The sequence below is a fragment of the Homo sapiens genome, chromosome 1, assembly GCF_000001405.40.
Source record: "Homo sapiens chromosome 1, GRCh38.p14 Primary Assembly".
Taxonomy (NCBI): Eukaryota; Metazoa; Chordata; class Mammalia; order Primates; family Hominidae; genus Homo; species Homo sapiens.
Window position 1 is genome coordinate 240,236,450 of NC_000001.11, and position 21,266 is coordinate 240,257,715.

Here is a 21,266-nt window from a genome sequence, read left to right on the forward strand (position 1 = left end):
TTTTGCACTGTTATAAAGAAATACCTGGGACTGGGTATTTTACAAAGAAAAGAGGTTTATTTGGCTCATGGTTCTGTAGACCACACAAGCAAGGCACCCACATCTGCTCAGCTTCTGAGGAGGCCTCATCACCTTCTGCCATGAAGGTTTTACTCACGGCAGAAGGTGAAGAGGGGAGCAGGGATGTCACATGGTGAGAGAGGAAGCAAGAGAAAGAGGAGGAAGTGCCAGCCTCTTTTTAACAATCACATCTCGTGGGAACTAATAGAGTGATAACTCACTCATTCCCATGAGGAGGGCACAAAGCCATTCATGAGCGATCCTCTCCCATGACCCAGTCACCTCTCGCTAGGACTCACCTTTAACAGTGGAGAATCACATTTCAGTGTGAGATTTGGAGGGGACAAACATCCAAACTATATCAGCCATATAAAAATTAAACTCTTCCAGGGATTTCTTTCAGGGATTTTGTTTTCCTTTTTGCTACTTTGGGTTTAACTTTTTATGGAAGTGCCTTTACAAAGTTAAGTGACTTATTCTTTATGTCTTCAGCAAAGTCAATATTGCTTCCACTAATGGTAGCTAAGGACAGGAAGGATGTGAGTTTTTGTTGTTGTTTTTCACATAGCTGGGAATAGTCATGGAGTAGGCTAGGATTTGGATCTTAGTTTCTTAAGCCACATTTCTACCTCTTATCTCATGAAACAAAACAATGATTTAAAGACTGGGCTAACAGTTCTGTCTTTCTAAGAGTTTGTTTGATTGCTGACTGTCCCTGTTGATGGTTCTTGTGCGGATAATTAACAGGTATAGTCGGATAAGTTGCCACCAACTTAGAAAACAGTCAGGGATCTTTTTTTAAGAGCTGCTTACAGTTGTTCAAGTCAGCCTTGACTCAGCTCTGCATACCAGCTGCTGGTGACCCCAGCTTGCCCCTTTGCACAGACCATGTGATTTTAAGTGTCAAGGTCTTGTCCGTTATCAGTTTCCTACCCTGTAGAACTGCTGTTATGCATTTTGTTTACTGATATGCATTTTCAGTATCTTTCCCTTCTCTGGATTTTTCGAAATAGACTAATTAAATACCGCAGCTGGTCTTTTTATCTTGGGATGGAATCACTTACAGAATGGGACACGTCTTCCTCTCAGATTGAGTCATGGTGTGGTGACAGAAGGGAATTTCATTGGAGCATTAAGATAATCAGAGACTCCATGTGGCATTAATTCACTCCATTACTGTTTATTGAAGAATAACTGTGTGCCAAGCACTGGGCTTAGTACTTTATCTTGGGAGGGGTGGGCAGGGTAGGGGGCAAATTGCAGAATAAGACTGGGCTTTGAGAGAGATTGGAGTTGAGTTATACATGCAGAATTCTAGAGGATACTTGAGTTTCTTTGCCTACTTGCTGCCTTAAATTTAAGAGAATTACACTAGGCTTGGGAAAACAAACTTTCATAATCCCAAATAGCATCTGATTCTAAAATTGCTTTTATTTGACTTCTCAATGAGTCTTTTAAAAGATGATTTCCTTCCTCAGGGTTTTGATCTGGCTGTGTTTGTTTCTATGAACACATTGTCTACAGATTCTAGGCATTAAGCAGAATGAACTAGCTGGAAAAATCCAACCCAGAAATAAACATTCACCTGTAGTCATTTCCAGCAAATGCTTGTATACTTATCGAAAATTCAAATTTACTTTTAACTAAATACCTTTATGCAGCTGACTGTAGTGCTTTGGGGAAGATAATGGTGTTAAAATAAGGTAATGATGATTGAGAAGAAAGGACTGATTCGAGGAACATTTAGGAGTTAGAATGACATCATTTAGCTATCTATTAGATATTCAATAGAGATATTTATGAAAACTTGAAATATGTTTAACATTGTGTATCCTTATAACCACTGCTTCTGAATGTTCAGCCAGTGATCTTGGGTAAAGACATTAAAACTTATTTGGTGAATACCTAACAGTGTATCTCTTCATCATGTGTATGTATCTGTAGATGTGGTATTAGAAACCACTGACACATATAATGACTTTTCAAGATATTTAACTAGTTTATAGGCTCCTGCGTGACTTATTTAATCTTGTGATTTTGTTCTGAGGTAGCTAATAATTTTATCATAACAAGATAAATTTTTAAGAAAATTATTGGAAAGTATGAAGTTTTTATTTGTTCATTTCATTAGTTGCTCTGCTAGAGTTACAAACAAGTACAATTACGTTGGAAATCTACTTCATAGTAAATACTCAGGTTCAAATACATTTACCCTAGGACCCAGTAGTCATAGGAGTAGCATTACTTGAAAAACCCTAAACTGCAAACCTTCTAAATATCTATCAATATTAGATACACGGTGGAATAGTAACAATGAAAAATAGCAATCTGTTATACTCAACAACAATATGGATTTTACAGGCAAAAGCCATTATAAACAAAGTGTTTCCATTTATGATGCTCAAGAACAGGCAGAAGTTATCTGTGACGATAGAAGTTAGAAGGAGACTTTTGTGTGGGGGAGTATTGAAGGAGGTATAAATGGAGCCTTCAGGAGTGCTGATAATGTCCTATACAATGATCTGAGTGATAGTTACAATGATGCATTTGTAAGCAATAATTAAATGAACTCTATACTTGAGTTTCGTTCACTTTACTATAGAATAACAATATTTTAAAAACTAAAATTTCTTAATAGTGGCCACTTTAGAAAAACTTTTTATTGAACAGCAAAACGCTAATTTGAGACTCTGGGACAATAGAGTTGAAGATGTCTTCAGGGATAGGAATAATGAATGATTTGGCTATTGTTGGACGAGGATGTGATAGAATTGTTTGACACAATATGATAAATTTCTTCAAATGGATTTGTTAAAGAAAGGAAAAATGCTAAATATATGATCTCTGAAAATGATGCCATCAGAAAGAAGACTATTTGGTCTGTAAAGGCTTAAAATCACATGTTGAAATTTTTATTCTCTGAAAATGAGCATCATAAATTAACTCACTGACATGCCACTGTTTATCTCTCTTTAACTTCCAAACTCTAGGAGGTCTTTGAAGAATCAGCCACTTGCTTATTCAGTATGTCATTTCTAGGAATAAAGATTGTAGACTTTCAAGGAAGCTGGACATGTCTTCCTCCATAGGATAGGGTCAAATCCAGTTTTCATCTTTGTGTCTTCACAGTGCTAAAAGCACCAGCATACTCTATGGATGGAGCAAGAAATCAAATCTTGTCCCTATAAAAGGGCCAGAAAGAAACATCATGCCATTGGCCAAAGAGCAGGAAGTGAAGCAAAACGCCTGAATACCGAATGACCATTTACTAAATCATTAAAAGTTTATTATGTGATTCTAGTCAATAAACATATGCTCAGTGATTCATTTGTTTTCTGAATATTTAACATTTTCTCTATCAAACTTTTCATCTAAATTTCTCATAGGCATTTTGTTGTTGTTATAACTACAAAGGAAGGGAACTATTTTGGTTGTTATTTGTTTTTCATAATTTCCCTGAAATTGAGCAATACATAAGACAGAATATTCAGATGGACCTTACCGTCTAAGGTTTGCTTTCTAGTTAACAATTTGAAAACTAATTTATTCTCTTTATGTTCCGTCTGCCCATATTAATTATATTTGATAACACAGGGCGTTAAGGAAATAGTGGGGAAAATGAGGCATCGTGTGTCTCATTCCTTGGTAGGAGTGTGCTCTCCATATGGCTGAGGGGTAGTGTGGAATAGTGGTCAAGGGGGTAGAGCCTGGAACCAGACTGCCTGGCTCATTTCCTAGCTCTGCCACTTTATGGATATGTGACCTTGAACAGCCACTTCTGCTGTAAAATGTGGACCGTAGTGGTACCTGTTTCACTGGATTTTGGCAGTGATTACAAGGAAGAATAAACTAAAGCCCTTTATTATGCACCAAATAATGTTCTCTGAATACATACTTGCTACAACATAATAATAAATATGCACATGGTCTCAATAAGAGTCTTTTATTCCTTTGTGGTTGTCATTAACCTTATTATCTGCATCACGTCTTTTATTTGTGATGATTAATATCTCTCATTGAGGTAACGAAGTACAAAGTGAGATGCTGATGCCTGTATTTTGTAGACACATACTTGATATCCAAATATTTTTGGCAATATCATGAAACATTTAGATATGGTACTCACAATGTATTGGTTTTCTTATATTTTAATTTTTATTGTAAACTTTGATGCTTCTAACTGAATTCTAAGTGCTGAAAACATAATATGAAAATTATAGATAGGATACATATCTAAAACCAGATTTTTAGAGGGAATTCTGAAGGGAAAAATATAGCTCAGCAGACTTGTATGCAACCAGATAGGTGAAACATTGTTTTCTCCTTTCCAAGATATTTGAAATAGCAAAGGTCCAAATTATATCTTGCAAATGTTTTTCATGCCAAAATTGGCTAGACTGGCAAAAAGATATGTTCAAAGAATAAAAGATTGTAATGTTATTTTAATTTCAAGGAGTTTAAACATCTGTGCATATTTTCTTTTTGCTTTAAAGAGTGGAGACTTAGGATAGTTGGTTTAAATTAGAAAGGCATTTTGTTTTAAGAGCCTGCTGATACTGCAGCATTATAGTGCATGTTACTGTGATATTTTTAAACAAACTGTGAAATTTAGAAATGCAACCTGCTAGAATAAAAACTTTAATAAAATATATACCTAATGCCATTTTGTTTCTTCATCGGTTTGTTTGGAATCACTTTGGTGTATTTTCAACTCTGGATTTTTTTTTTAATTGTATTTTTTTTTTTTTTGTCAAGGTCATCCTAAATGTTTCAGCTTTTTCTAAGAAAGGAAAAGTTAATATAAATAAGAAATTGAGTTTCTAATTCTTTTAAACTTATCCCTTTAAAGAAAAATATCAAAAAGCCTAAGAAGTTCCCTTGGTTTTTTGTTAGCAAATTCCTGTGCTGTATTTAGTGTTGTGTTATGGCAGAGGTGTGTGTGCACATGGCTCTCAGGGACTGCCTACAGCAGAGGACAAGTGAACTTTGGAGTCGGACTTAGCTGACAGGAAATCCCAGCCTGCCTCTCTGGCTTTGGTCTTTCAGCCATTTTTCATACTGAACATCATTCATTTCTGTGACTCAATACATAATAGTTATTATTTTTACAGATGTGATTTATGCGTGTCACGCTGCTGGGACATTTAATTACTCTATTCAACTTGACTGTATTTAGAAAAGGCTATGGCGCTACTCCTCTTGTTTAACAGCTTCTATTCTAAGAGAAGAATCTAACCATTGATTGGGTTGGATCATAAGTGTGGCTAATCTTGTAGGCTAGGTAGGTATCATTTTCTTTATTTTAGTGTGCCTTGCTTTTTTTTTTTTTTTTTTTTTTTTTTTTTGAGACGGAGTCTCGCTCTGTCGCCCAGGCTGGATCTCGCCTCACTGCAAGCTCCGATCTCGGCTCACTGCAAGCTCCGCCTCCCGGGTTCACGCCATTCTCCTGCCTCAGCCTCCCGAGTAACTGGGACTACAGGTGCCCGCCACCACGCCCGGCTAATTTTTTGTATTTTTAGTAGAGACGGGGTTTCACCGTGTTAGCCAGGATGGTCTCGATCTCCTGACCTCGTGATCCGCCTGCCTCGGCCTCCCAAAGTGCTGGGATGACAGGCGTGAGCCACCGCGCCCGGCTAGTGTGCCTTTCTTAAAATCAACTGGAACACGTATGTCTTAGAGTTTACCAAATCGCTTTTATATAACATGCATTTGCTTCTTTTTAAAATGACACATCTTTCATGTCTGACTTGATTTCTGGTTTAACAGTGATTTATAATGGTATATTGAATGGCAAAAGATAGTCGAGGGAGATATTGTTATCAAGAAACAATGGAGAAGTCAGATGGACACTAGTTTTTACTTGGTGGGAAGATGTCCTGCAGACTTACTTGCACATATTTGAAATTCTCGCTTCTAGTTTGTTAGAACAACCCGAGGGATGGGACCAGGAGACCGGTATCAGGATCATAGACTAAATAAGAATGAAAGCAGGAACCAAGAAGATGGTGTCAGGAGAGATTGAAACAACCTACTCAGTTGAGGAACAACATCCAGATGATGTTACAACCAGGAGACACAGCTCTCCAAACTGAAGTCTAAAATATACATCAAGACAACCAAATGAGAGAGACAGGCTAGGAGAGCACAAGAGGCTCTTCTTGGTAACCTTACCAAATTCCACAGCTGTCAGTCTCCTTCTGAGGCTGACTCAGACCCAAAGGCAGGACAAACAAAGCAAGACGCTTTCACCCACACTATAGCTTGATCCTCTGCCAAGAGGCACATCTGGGACCAAGTTCAGAAGCAGGCTTCTAGATTCTTAATCAGTGAGAGGTGTCAAATGTCACCTCACCAATTAGCAAACTGTAATTCTGCTTTGCTTCTGAGATTGAATCTAGGCTGCCCGAGTAAAGAGGATTGTCTGGTGCCAACCAGATAGTCTGGAGATACCACTTGTGGGCATGGTCAGTGTCAGTGCCTTCTGTGGTCTGCAGTGCCTTGGAATGCTGTTGGATGCCTGTGAGATCAGCCACCCTCCCCTGAGGCTTACCATTAATCTGAGTAGGAGAATACGGTAGTGTAAGTAAGACTGCAGTCTTCCTTGGTTGCGGGAGTAGACCGAAAAAAAAAACCAAAAAACAAAAAACCCTGATAACCTCTTGCTCTGCAAAATCTCATGCAAGCATTCTTCACTTTTGAGTGTAGACTAGTTAAGATTTAAAATGACTGCTGTTTTCATGAAATAGTATCAGACAGTTCAGAAAAGGCTCATGGTTCCTGATTCTCATTGGGTCAAAAATCTAGAGATGAATTTATCTTTCCAAAGTAAGAAAACTGAATCCAAATCAAGGTTATGAGATAGCCAACAACAGTATGTCTAAAGAGTTCTTGGAGAAATCACACTTTGTAAATTCCCAAGGGGCAGGAGTTGGCCAATGTATGGGTTGTTCTCCTTCTTAATTTTAGATGTTTATTTCTTATCGCCTTCTATTGTCTCTGCTGTTCCTCTTGTTGGAATAAACTCAAGTGATTTTACAACATCATAAATATAACTGCCGGTTATTGGATTACAAAATAAAACACTAGCACCTGGCATTTGCAAGACATTTTATGCTTTGAAAATATTTTATACTTTACCGAATTTGTTTATCTCAAGTTATGGGAATATTGCATATGGATTATTAACTGTATTCTACAGGTAGGAAAATTTAGATCTTGAGGCCAAGGAGCTTGTCCAAAGTTACATGGATGCTAATTTAGGCAAAGACATGTCCTGAAATATGGATCTCCTACTCTGATACAGATCAAATCATTGGAAATCTTGAGTTTGGGAATTGTTCTCTTTGCCTTTCCTTCTATTCTTACATCTCTTGTTCACTTTGGATTTACTATTTCATATTTACTTATATTCTCCTGGTCATTAGGGTATTCTTGGGTGCATTTGATAGCTCTTATTCCTTGAATACATTGCATACCTCTGGATATACCACCTTGTGCTCTAATGTCGTTTGAGAAACAACAGTTTTCACATTCTGAGGTTCTGCTTTGAAATTTACCTTAATTCATCTCTATCGTTGAGTAATCTTATCTTTTTCTCTTCAGAGAAAGATTTGCCTTATTGGATCTGGCCATTTATCCCTTATTTAATGTCCACTTTTCAGCAAGGTCATGACATGCCATTTCAGAAGAAAGCAATATGCTCTTTTAACTAGGAATCAGGAAACTAAAACTTTTGTTGTGGCTCTACATTTAGACTGTGTGCAAATTATTTACTAGCTTGTAAAAAATTGTGAGATTTTACTAGCTTATAAGAAATTGTAAGATTTTACTAGCTTGTAAGAAATTGCAAGAAACTTCAAGTTATCTCTATTGGATATTTAATGTGGAGCTCTTTGATGTCATCTTAATTAGCTAATATTCCATGTGACACATATAAAATGCATACTATGTTTAAACTTCCGAATTAGCAATAAACACCATGTTGACTGATCAAATAATTATTTAAATGTGGTTTTGGCTACTTGTGTAATAAATATAGTTCACATAAACTTTCTACTATGTCTTGATATGATTCTAAGTTACAGAAGATATTATCTTGCAGTTCTTGAATTTAATAGTAGAATCACAGTTCAACCATTATTCAAATACTTCCTTTTCAAAAGAAGTATTCAGTGGTTCCCAAATCTGCACCAGCATCAGCTGTGGTATTTTTTTAAAACATACATATTCCAGGGCCCTACTCTAGAGAAAATTGACTTTTCAGAAGGTTGAGCAGGATCCTTTATTTAAGAAGGTACCTAAGTAATTCTGATGTCTAGCCAAGGTTGGTTGTCTAACCATTTTTCCAAGTTTATTGTGGGACATCTAAGCTGGGCATAGCAGTTTAAACAAGGTTTACTTATTCAGCGGACATTTTTGGATGCTTACAATATATCAATCATTGTGCTGAGTACTACAGTAAGCAATATGACACAGAGTTTGTCTAGAGGTAATTATACTTTAGTGAAAATTGCCCCCAAATCACTTTATCATGTATATGTTGCAGTAGGAGAGTATATAGTCTCAAAAGAGTAAAGAAGTGGCTCCTAAGTCAGCTCCTGTAAGAGTTCTGTGGGAAGTACAGGGATGTTCAGGAGAAGCATCACAGTGGAATGAGACTTGAACATTCCTGTCCACTGAATAGTCAGAGTTTGTCATTTTGAAAATAGAAAATAGAAGAGAAATACATTATCAGGGGCCACTAAATATCTGTTAAAAGGGGACTGACAGGATGAAGGCAGTACAGAATGCTGGGCTGAGAGCAGGACTGAGATCCTAGAGGCAGAATCCCAGTCTACCCGTACTCTCTGGGAGGAAGTGATGAGAACTTGCAGCAGGGTGGTGGTAGTGAAAGAGAAGAATGAAAGACAAGGAAGCATCAGTGGAACTTGATGTGTGGCTGGATACCAGAAATGCAGAGGAAGTTAGTCAAAGGTTCCCGTCCTGATGACTGGAGATCATGGTATCACTGACTGAGCTCTAGGGGTTGTGAAATAGAGCTCATTAGGCAGAGGATGGTAAGTGTCTGGTTTTTTTATGGTTTTCCGTGCATTTACCCTACTGCCTAGCACAATGCCTGATGTGTAGTAGGGGTATTAGTTAAAATACTGGTTTGGTGGTCTCTGTTGTGACTTGTAAAAGATGAAAAGTTAATTTTATCTTTCTCATGGAGAAATCTAGGCAGGTAAGTGCCCAGGGAGGTGCAGTGCCTGTGTTCCATCAGGTTGTCCAGAGATTCATTCCCCAGGCCTTCTGTTGCTTCACCCTCAGGGCATAGTATAACTGATGATGGCTCACTTCCATAATTCTGCCTCAGCCTGAGAGGAAAAGGATAGAGAAAGTAGAGGGCCAGCCAGGCACAGTGGCTTACGCCTGTAATCCAGGCACTTGGGGAGGCCGTGGCGGGCGGATCACGAGGTCAGGGGATCGAGACCATCCTGGCTAACATGGTGAAACCCTGTCTCTACTAAAAATACAAAAAATTAGCCGGGCATGGTGGCGGATGCCTGTAGTCCCAGCTACTCGGGAGACTGAGGCAGGAGAATCACGTGAACCCAGGAGGCGGAGGTTGCAGTGAGCTGAGATCGCACCACTGCACTCCAGCCTGGGCGACAGAGCGAGACTCCCTCTCAAAAAATAAAAATAAAAATAAATAAAAAAAGTAGAGGGCCAGCCAGCCTTTTGAAGGCTGCGCTTTTATCGCTCTCCGCATTCTGTTGTCCGTAACTTAGTCATATGGCTATCCCTGGATAAAAGTAGGATGTAGGCTGGCGCTGTGGAACATGGCTGTAATCCCAGCCACTTAGGAGGCTGAGGTGGGAGGGATCACTTGAGCCTGGGAGTTAGAGGCTACAATCAGCTATAACCATGCCACTAAGAGTACCTCACTGAATATCCACTGCAGTCTTTGGAATTTGATACTGTTTTAATCATTTTTCTAGGGGAGGTAACTGAGGCTTTAGGATGTTGGGGTAGCTTTTCTCCAACACATTAGAAAGCAAGTAGGAGAACCTCACAATCTGTGCACCAGAAGAACTGGCATCACCCGAAAGCTCGTTAGAAACAAAGAACCTCAGTCCCACCCAGATTTAGGGATCAGAATCTGCATTTTAAAGGATCCCAGATGATTCAAGTACACATGAAGTTTGAGAAATACTGCTTTATTTTACAGAGACCGTGTTCATAATCTCTACACAGTCCTGCCTTCTAGGGAAGCCTGAGATGATAACTTTATTAAGAGAATTATTAAGAGACGTGACATTAAAGCAGATTCAAGATAATTCTTTTTTCTGATTATAAGTTCTAATTTTATAGATTTCAAATGTGTTAATTCTGCATTTTCTGCGTTTTGCCTCAGTTCTGAGATCATCTTAGAAGAGTGTACTCTCCTCTTCATTGTATTGTGGTCACTGAATTCTAAGAATGTTCTAACTTTAGGTTCTTCTTCTCCAAGGTGTTGGAAAAAAAGGTCAGATCATAGCAGTGGTTCGTAATGCAAAGTTTGGGTTACTTAAGGACACTGTGGAATCCATCCTTTTAGACATCTGTCCTCTTCTGAATGTCTGCCTTCTGAAAGGTGGTAGATGATTATTGTTCCTATGTAAAATCTTAGGCATTTAAATGTAAAATCCAGTTTGTGATCAAGTGTGTTTGAATTATAATAGAAAAAGCAGGCTGGGAGTGGTGGCTCAAGCTTGTAATCTCATCACTGTGGGAGGCCCAGGCAGGCAGATCACCTGAGGTTGGGAGTTTGAGACCAGCCTGACCAACATGGAGAAACCCCATCTCTGCTGTAAATACAAAATTGGCTGGGCATGGTCCCGCATGCCTGTAACCTCAGCTCCTCAGGAGGCTGAGGCAGGAGAATCGCTTGAACCTGGGAGGCGGAGATTGCAGTGAGCTGAGATCGTGCCATTGCACTCCAGCCTGGGCAACAAGAGCAAAACTCCATTTCAAAAAAAAAAAAAAAGCAAATTCCATATATGAAATGTGAAAGATTCTATAAGACTTTTTAAAGGACTAACCCTTAAACATGAGCCAATTGGGTTTAAAACCTATGATTAAAAAGCAACATGCAGATATCAGCATTTTTAGAGAGGGTACTTGGGTATCAGTTTGGAGAATGGACAGGAAGGGATGAGATGAAACGGGTGGCTTTGGAATTACTTGGAAGGCTTTCAAAATTCAGAGTGATGGTTCCTACTCTCATGTTCTGATTAGTAGGTTTGTGATGAGGCCTGAGAACTTGCATGTTCAATGTTTATTATTGATACATAATATTTATACATATTTATGATACATCATATTTATACATATTTATGATGTTACATGCATAGAATGCGTGGTGATGAAGTCTGGATATTTAGTATCCATCATTTTGAGCATATATCATTTCTGTGAGTTAGGAACATTTCAAGTCCTTTCTTCTAGCTATGTTGTAATATATAATACATTGTTGTTAACTATGCTCACCCTCCTCTATCATTAGAACGTATTTCTTCTATCTAATGCTTGTACCCATTAATCAATCTCTCCTCATCACCTCCCCCTCCACCACCCACCCTACGCAGCCTCTGATATCTTTTGTTCTACTTTCTACCTCCATGAGATTAACATTTTTCACTCCCACATATGAGTGAGAGTGTACAATACTTGTCTTTCTTTACCTGGCTTATCTCACTTAAGGCTTTTCTCACTTTCTTTACCTGGCTTATCTCACTTAGAACCTCCTGTTCTATCCGTGTTGCTGCAAATGACATGATTTTATTCTTTTTTTATGCCTGGATAATATTCTGTTGTGTATGTATGTATATGTTTTATGGATTATATATATATATATAACATACATGTTATTGGATACATTATAGTACATACATGTGATTGGATATATATATATATATATATATATATAACATACATGTTATATATATTTAAAAATATTTTTTCTTTATTTGTCCATTGATGGACACAGGTTGATTTCATATCTTTGCTATTGTGAACAGTACTGCAGTAAACGTAGGGTGAAGATATCCTTTTAATATTTATTTTCCCTTTGGGTACATACCCAGGAGTGGGATTGCTGGATCACATGGTAGTTCTATTTTTAGTTTTTTGAAATATTTCCATATTGTTTTCCATAGTGACTGTACTAATTTAAATCCCCTTTTATTCACATCCTTGCCAGAATCTATTTTTTTAAATAATAGTCATTTTAACTGGGTAAGATAATATCTCATTGTGTTTGATTTGCATTTTCCTGATGGTTAGTGATGTTGAGCAGTTTTTTTCATATACCTGTTGGCCATTCGTATGTTGTCTTTTGAGAAATGTCTACTCATATCCTCCTTAAAAAGTGGGCAAAGGAGATGAATTATTTATTTATTTATTTACTTACTTATTCATTTTTTTATGTACTGTTGAGTTGTTTGAGTTCCTCATATATGGATATTAGTCCCATGTTGAATGAATAGTTTACAAATATTTTCTCCCATTAAACAGGCAATGTCTTTACTCTGTTGATTGTTTTTTTGCTGTCCAGAAGCTTTTTAGCTCAAAATAGTCCCATTTGTCTATTTTTGTTTTAGTTGTCTGTGCTTTTGAGGTCTTAGCCATAAAATCTTTGCCTAGACCAATTTCCTGAAGTATTTTCCCTCTGTTTACTTCTAGTAGATTTATAGTTTCGAGTCTTGCCTTTAAGTTGTTAATCCGTCTTGCACTGATTTTGTATATGGTGAGAGATAAGGGTCAAGTTTCATTGTTCTGCATATAGATATCCAATTTTTCCAGCACAATTTATTGAAGAGGGTGTCTTTTCCCTCATGTATGTTCTTGGTGTCTTTGTTGAAAATCAGTTGCCTGTAAATATGTGGATTTATATCTGGGTTCTCTATTCTTTTCCATTGGTCTATGTGTTTGTTTTTATATCAATACCATACAGTTTTGATTACTATAACCTTGTAATATATTTTGAGGTCAGGCAGTGTGATACCTCCAGCTTTGTTTGTTTATTCGTTTTGCTCCGGATTGCTTTGTCTATTCAGGTTTGTTTTTGGCTCCATAAGAATTTTACGGTTGCTTTTGTATTTCTGTGAAAAATGTCATTGTTTTGATAAGGATTGCACTGGATCTGGAGATTGTTTTGGGGAGTAGGGTCACTTCAACAATATTTATTCTTCCTGTCCATGAGCATGGAATGTCTATTCGTTTCTGTCCTCTTCAATTTCTTTCATCAATGTGTTGTAGTTTTTCTTACAGAGGTCTTCTGTCTTCTTGGTTAAATTTATTCCTAAGTTATTTATTTTTTGTAGCTATTTGAGATTGGATTGCCTTCATTTCTTTCTCAGCTAGTTCATTATTGTTCTGTAGGAACTAGTGATTTTTGTATGTTGATTTTGTATACTGCAACTTTACTGAGTTCATCAGAACTAATGGTTTTTTGGTGGCATCTTATATTTTCTAGATAAAAGCTTATGTCATTTGTAAAGAGAAACAGTTTGACTTCCTGTCTTTCAGTTTGGAATCCTTTTATTTCTTTCTCTTGCCTGATTTCTCTGGCTAGGAATTCTAGCACTATGTTATGTTAAGTAGGAGTGGTGAAAGTGAGCATCCTTGTCTTGTTCCAATTATTAGAGGAAAGGCTTTCATCTTTTCCCCATTCAGTATGATGTTAGCTGTGGGTTTGCCATATATGCCTTTATTAAGTTGAGGTATGTTCCTACTATACCTAGATTATTGAGAATTTTTATCGTGAAGGGATGTTGAATTTTATCAAATGCTTTTTCTGTGTCCATTGAGATGATCATATGGCTTTTGTTTTTCACTCTTGATTTGATATATCACATTTATTGATTTGCATATGTACAACCATTTTTGCATCCCTGGGATAAATCCCACTTGATTATGGTATTTTCTTTAGATGTGCTGTTGAACTTAACTTGTTAGTGTTTTGTTAAGGATTTTTGCATCTCTGTTCATCAGGATATTGGCCTGTAGTTTTCTTTTTTGTTGTATTCTTGTCTGGTTTTGGTATCAGGGTAATGCTGACCTGGTGGAATAAGTTAGGGAGCATTCCCTTCTCTTCTATTTTTTTTGGGGGGTGGGAAGAGTTTGAGGAAAATTAGTGTTCTTTGTACGTTTTGTAGAATTTGGCAGTGACACCATCTGGTCCTGGACTTTTCTTTGTTGGGAGACTTTTTATTACTGATTCAATCTCACAACTCATTGTTAGTCTGTTCAGGTTTGCTATTTCTTCCTGATTCAATCTTGGTAGATTGTATGTGTCCAGGAATTTATTCATTTCCTCTAGATTTTCCAGTATATTATTGTATAGTTGTTCATAATAGTCTCTGATGATCTTTTATATTTCTGTGGTATCAGTTGTAATGTCTCATTTTTAATTTCTGATTTTGTTCATTTGGGTCTTCTCTCATTTTCTTGGTTAGTCTAGCTAGCAGTTTATCAATTTTGTTTATTTTTTCATAAAACTAACTTTATTTTGTTGATTCTTTGTGGGTTTTTTTAGTCTTTATTTTGTTTAGTTCTGTTCTAATCTTCATTACTTATTTCTTCCTACTGATTTTGTTCTTGCTTTTCTGGTTCCTTGATATACACTGTTAGATTGTTTATTTGAGATCTTTCTACTTTTTTGATGTAGGCGTTTATTATTTTAAGCTTTCCTTTTAGTACTAGTTTTGTTGTATCTCATAGGTTTTGGTGTTTTGTGTTTCCAATTTCATTTGCTTCTAGGATTTTTTTTATTTCTTCCTTAATTTCTTCCTGGTCTCAGTAGTCATTGAGGAGCAGGTTGTTTAATTTCCATGTATTTGTGCAGTTTCTAAAGTTCCTCTTGTTGCTGATTTCTACTTTTATTTCATTGAGATCTGAGAAGATACTTGATATGATTTCGATATTTAAAATGTGTTGATATTTTTGTGTCCTAACACATTATCTACTCTGAAGAATGTTCCATGTGATGATGAGAAGAATGTGTGTTCTCTAGCTGTTGAATGCAATGTTCTGTAAATGTCTGTTAGGTCCATTTGGTCTAAAGTTCAGTTTAAATCCTAGATTTCTTTGTTAATTTTCTGTCTAGATGATCCTACTGTTGCTGAGAGTGTGATGTTGATGTCTCCTACTATTATTGTATTTGAGTCTGTCTCTCCCTTTAGATCTAATAATATGTTTTATATATCTGTGTGCTCCGTTGTTGGGTACAATCATCCTCTTGCTGAATTGAAACTTTTATCATGTTATCATCTTCTTTATAAGCGGAAAGTTTAATCTGTTTACATTCAAGGTTATTATTGATATGTAAGGGCAAATTCAAGTCATTTCCTTAATTGATTTCTGTATTTTATTTTGTTTTATTTATTTATTTTTGAGACGAAGTCTCACTCTGTTGCCTAGGCTGGAGGGCAGTGACGCTATCTCGGCTCAGTGCAACCTCCGCCTCCCGGGTTAAAGCAGTTCTCCTGCCTCAGCCTTCCAAGTAGCTGGGATTACAGACGCCCGCCATCTCACCTGGCTGATTTTTGTATTTTTAGTAGAGACGAGATTTCACCATTTCGGCCAGGTTGGTCTCAAACTCCTGACCTCAGGTGATCCACCTGCCTCACCCTCCCAAAGTGCTAGGATTACAGGTGTGAGCCACTATTTCCGGCCTCCTTAACTGATTTCTGATTGCTTTGTATATCCTTTCTTCCTTTCTTTTTCTCTTATTGTTCATCATTGTGGTTTTGTAGTTTTCTATAGTGGCAACATTTGGATCCTTCCTCTTCCTTATTTGTGCATTTGCTCTACCAGTAGGTTTTATACTTTTGCATGCTTTCATGATGGTGGATATCATTCTTTTGCTTGCAGGTGTAGGACTACCATAAGCTTTTATTGTAGGCCCAGTCTTTTGGTGATTAGTACCTTCAACTTTTGCTTGTCTAGGAAAGACTGTATTTCTCCATCATTTATGGAGGGTAACTTTGCTGGGAAGAGTATCTTGGGCTGGCAGTTTTTTTTTTTTCAGCTCTTTGAATATATCATTCAGTTCTCTCCTGGCCAGTAAGGTTTTTGCTGAGAAATCAGCTGTTATTCTGACGGGGGGGGTGGTTCTCTTATAAGTGACTAGATGCTTATCTCTTGCTGTTTTTAGAATTTGTTCTTTGCCTCTCACTTTTGACAGTTTGACTCTAATGTGCCGCAGAGAAAACCTTTTTGAATTGTATCTATTTGGGGATTTCTGACCTTCCTGTATCTGTATGTCTAAATCTCTTACTAGACTTGGGAATTTTTTTTAGCTATTGTTCCACTAAGTAGGTTTTTGATCCCTTTCATTTATTCTTCATCTTCTGGGACACTGAAAATTCAAATATTTGTTTGCTTTATGGTGTCCCATGTGTGATGTAGTCTTGTTCACTTTTTTTTTTTTTTTTTGGAGACAGAGTCTCACTCTGTCACCAGGCTGGAGTGCAGTGGTGCAATCTTGGCTCATTGCAACCTCTGACTCCCTGGTTCAAGCGATTCTCCTGCGTCAGCCTCCTGAGTAGCTGGGATTACAGGCATGCACCACCACACCCAGCTAATTTTTGTATTTTATTTTATTTTACTTTTTTAAGTAGAGATGGGGTTTTACCATGTTGGCCAGGATGATCTCAATCTCCTGACCTCATTATCTGCCTGCCTCAGCCTCCCAAAGTGCTAGGATTACAGACGTGAGACACTACGCCTGGCCTGTTCATTCATTTTTATTCTTTATTCTTTATTTTTATCTGACTAGGTTATTTCAAAAGACCTGTCTTCAAGTTCTAAAATTCTTTCTTCTGCTTAATCTAGTTTATTGCTGAAGCTTTCAAATGTATTTTGTATTTTATTCAATGAAGTCTTCCATCCCAGAATTTCTGTTTGGTTCTTTTTTACGATATCTATCTTTTTGATAAATTTCTCATTCATATCCTAAATTGTTTTTCTAATCTCTTTGTATTGTTTATATGAATTTTCTTGTATATCACTGAGATTCTTTAATATCATTATCTTGAATTCTTTTTCTGGAACTTCATGAATGTCTTTTTCATTGGAATTTGTTGCTGGAGAATTATTATGTTCATTTGGAGGTGTAATATCTCTTTGTTTTATGTTTATTGTTTATTTACATTGATATTTGTGCATCTGGTATAACAGTCACTTATTCCAACTTTTTTGAATTTGCTTTTATAGGGGAGGACTTTTTCCTGAAGATGTATCTGTGGTGTTGGTTTGATGTAGCATTTTGCCTTTGATTCTGGATGAATACAGCAGTGTAGTCTCTGTATGATTTTTTTCATCTGTAAGTGTCAGTAGTGCTTGTAATTTCCTCAGTGGCTTAGGGTGTGGTTGTTAGTGGAGGTCATGGTAAAGTTTTGCTGGTGATGAGGATGCTAGGTGGGCCAGTCCTCAATCACTGGCAGGTGCTTGAGGTGGCAGTGGCAGGCTGAGCATGCCTGTCCTTTGGTCTTAGGGTGGTGTATGCTGGCCCTGATATTAGCAGGTTCAGTCAGGCCAGTTGGACCTCCAGGTGGCTTGCTTGGGTGCCAGCAGTGGAAGAAGTGGGCTGGGTGGCTGGGAGGGTCCTTAGGCTCCTAGGCAGTGGGCATCGTGCTGAGGGACGCAGTAGTAGTGGTGAGACAAGCCTTAGGCTCCCAAGTGGTTTGCGCTGGTGTTGCAGTGGCTATGACAGGCCACGCGGGGCAGTCTCAAGGCTTGCAGGTGGCATGGGTGAGTGGATGGTGTGGGTGGGTGGGTGCTAGCTGTGGTGTTAGCAGTAGGTTGGGTGGGTTTGTCCTCAGGCCCTCAGAAGGAGTGCTCAGGTGTCAATGGTGGTGAATGGGGCAGGGCCATTCCCAAGCCTCTGGGTGGTGGTCTTGGGCTCTGGGGGAGTGGGATGGGTTTTAACATGGTTAAATGGTCCTGTTCTCTGGCCCCTAGGTGGTACGTGTGGGTGCTGGCTGTGGTAAGTAGGATAGGGGTGGACCCCAGGTCCCCCCTACCCCTGGCAGAATAGCTGGATGGGGGTGGCAGCGACTGTGTGGTGGCCCTGAGGCCCTGCTGCTGGGGAGGGTGGAGTTACCATGGCAGCAGTTGTAAACAGGTGACTGGGGGAGCTTGTGCTGTGGCTCCATATGGCGGCTGCAAGAGGGGTGCCCCATCCTCAGGGTGCTCTTAAATGCACAGAGGCCTTGTTGCTAGGGGCAGCAGGGTCGTTGGCAAAGGCTTGTGCTTTGGCCCTGGCTGCGGTTGGAGGATATCAGGGGAGCCCCGGGGATGTGGAGATGCAGGGGCTATTGGGCCCCAGGCCAGGATGCAGTCTGGTGGGGGCTGACATTTCAAAACAGTGCCCTCCTGTAACTGCTTGTGACACAGCAGGTGAGTGGAACTCAGTGCGCGCTCCCTCTGGAGGGGTGCCGCTGCCTGATCTCCGGGTGGCTCCCAATGTTAGCCTCAGGGCCTGTGCAGGCCGCGGGGTTCTCCCATGGCTACGATTGCAGGAGTCTGTGGTGGAAATGTGGGCTGCTGGGGTCGCTCACTTAACTTTACCACATGAGGGAGCCTGGAGAACCTTAATCACATTAGAGAACCTCTCTAGCTCCCAGCCGATCCTGGCTGAGCAGACTGCCCCACTTCCCTCTTCTTCTTTGCCTCCCATGTTACCTGTCACTTATTTCTTGAATTCCAATGTTCTCTCTTATGTGATCTGTTTGACCTGTGATATCTACTCACTATTTCAGTTCTTGTTTGTGGAGGAGGCGAGTACCAGGTGCCTCTAGTCAGCCATCTTGAAACTCCCCTCTAACTTTTCCTTGGATTTTTGATAACTTCCCAGGTGATGATGGTGCCCATTTGTCCAAGGAACACACTTTGAGAACCACTGGACTAGAGTTTGGGAGATCAATCAGAAATCTTTTGCATTTATCTATGTAAGATAAAGTATAGAACTAAATGCTGAAAATAGAGTTAAGGAGGAGGGGTGGTTTCCGCAAATACAGAGCAGCTGTAATTGGCAGGACTTGATACCAGACCAGAGTATGCAGGTGAAGGGGAGGTAGGAGTCTTGACTGGTTTCTAGATTCCTAACATTGGTAGGTGGATGAAGAATAGTGGTACCTTTATCTCAATATATAGCATAAAGGAGAAGAAGCTGGCTGGTGGTGTTGGGGTGGAACTGATATGTGTGTCATTTTAGACATGTCAAATGGAGATTATGGGGACAATTTAAATAGAGATGTCTTTTCACGAAGTAGGAGACTGCCAAGTTGAAGATGCAGACATGTATGTCTCTACAGGAGAAATTATAGGTTATAATGTGATGAGAATAGGTTATAATGCGACGAAAATAAGATATAGAGAACAGAACTCTAGGATACGCAAATATTTAAGGTGAAATCAGAATAATTCATCTTCAAAAGAACTGAGAAGAAATGTTAGGAGCCCTGGAAGAGAAGTTACTACAAGGGTGTGATCAACATGTCAATACTATAGGGAGGTCGAATGATAGATGGATTGAAACATGCCTATTGCATTGAGAAACCAGAAGATGATAGAAAACCTTGATAAAAGCATTTTCATCAAGCAGCATGATTCAGCCCGGATTGCACTGACTTGTGGTTACAAACTGGTTTTCAGGACAGAGTATACACCTTCTGCTTCTCTGATATTAAATTCCTACTTTTTAAGCTCTTAAGAGGACAATGCTATGGATAGAAATACTTTGCTGTACTAATAGGCCCATATTCTAGTTTTAACCTCATCTTTCTAGGTGGAATTTAGAAAAATGTTTAGTTAACATTTAGAATCAAAATGTATATGTTGCTTTTTCTTTTGCAAAAGCAGCGCCTTTTGGGAGATATCGTGCCTTACCAAGAGGCTTTCAGAAATGATCAGGGCAGGGCCAGGCAGCAGTGGTTTATGCCTGTTATTTCAACACTTTGGGAGGCCGAGGTGGGTGGATCACCTGAGGTCAGGAGTTCGAGACCTTCCTGGCCAACATGGTGAAACTCGGTCTCCACTAAAAATACAAAAAAAAAAAAAAAAAATAGCTGGGCATGGTGGCATGCACCTGTAATCCCAGCTACTCAGGAGGCTGAGTCACGAGACTCACTTGAACTCAGGAGGCGGAGGCTGCAGTGAGCCGAGATCGTGCCACTGCACTCCTTCCTGGGTGACAGAGTGAGACTCCATCTCAAAACAAACAAACAAACAACGACAACAAAAAAGATCAGAGTGGTTTTCGTGGTTGGTCCTTCTGAAAGTGTTATGTTTTATTCCTCACCCCCATCCGTGCTGGGGCACCCAGAGTGCTATTATTGCTATTAAGAATATTGTTTTACTCTGTGACTTTGTGTAACAGTTGGGTATGATTATTTTATTACTATCCTGATTGACCCAACTTAAACCATAAGGGAAGACAGGGTACAAAGATGCAATAGCTGTTAGAGCAGCTGTCACTTCTGGTAATTTGACTATAACCACTTTCTTTCCTTTTCCTCCAGTGTTTTTCTAAGCAGATTTAAAACAAAACACTGGGAGTAAATAGAAAATGCTGCCCCTCACACGATCAGGCCTGGGATAAGTTTCATAAGCAGAATTTCCTGGTGATGCTGTTGTCTGGAAAACATGGTCAAAAAATATCTATCTGTTCTGTAACAGCCTTCCCACCTCTGTTTTAGGAACCCTTCGCATGGGATCGTGTGCCCTGATTCTTTAAGACTTGCTGGAAATCCAGACTTGAGATTGTGCTGATGCAGCCCTTTTAATTTGATGCTTGTATCCCTCTGTTAATTAGTAGGAAAGTTCTCCCCAAAATGTGGGTCAAATGCAGAATGAGAGGAACTTCCAGTAAAATAGTGAGCTTTCTATGTGACCCAAGTGAAAGCACTTTTTTAAAAAAATTTTTCATGACACAACCAAACTAATCTAGCAGATTCTCTATGTGTGTACTTTTATTTTGCGCTTCACTTGCTGACGTGTTTGAAGTTTCAGTGTGTCAAGGCTCCACATTGAAAGAAAAAAGAACACTTCAAATCTCAGGCTGCAAATGATCATATGTGTAATTGTGATTTTACAGAGACCAGACTAATTTCCTAGACCATTAGAAATTTTACTTGTTGACAGATCAGGCTCTCAAAAGACTGGTTAAAAAACATGTC

At 38.8% G+C, this 21,266-nt stretch overlaps 1 protein-coding gene across 8 annotated transcripts in view; it reads left to right on the plus strand.

Annotated features, from left to right (window-relative positions):
• FMN2 (formin 2) overlaps window positions 1–21,266 on the plus strand; it is a 383,305-nt gene that overhangs the window by 144,567 nt on the left and 217,472 nt on the right. For 2 of the 8 annotated variants that reach the window (XM_011544237.4, XM_047425620.1), the window contains one exon: window positions 3,190–4,723. The exons of the other annotated variants lie outside the window; for them this stretch is intronic. In XM_011544237.4, the coding sequence (XP_011542539.1) occupies window positions 3,190–3,195 (6 nt within the window). In that variant the 3' untranslated portion in view covers window positions 3,196–4,723. Of the gene's footprint in view, window positions 1–3,189; window positions 4,724–21,266 lie in introns of those variants that run through there. 8 annotated transcript variants of the gene reach the window in all.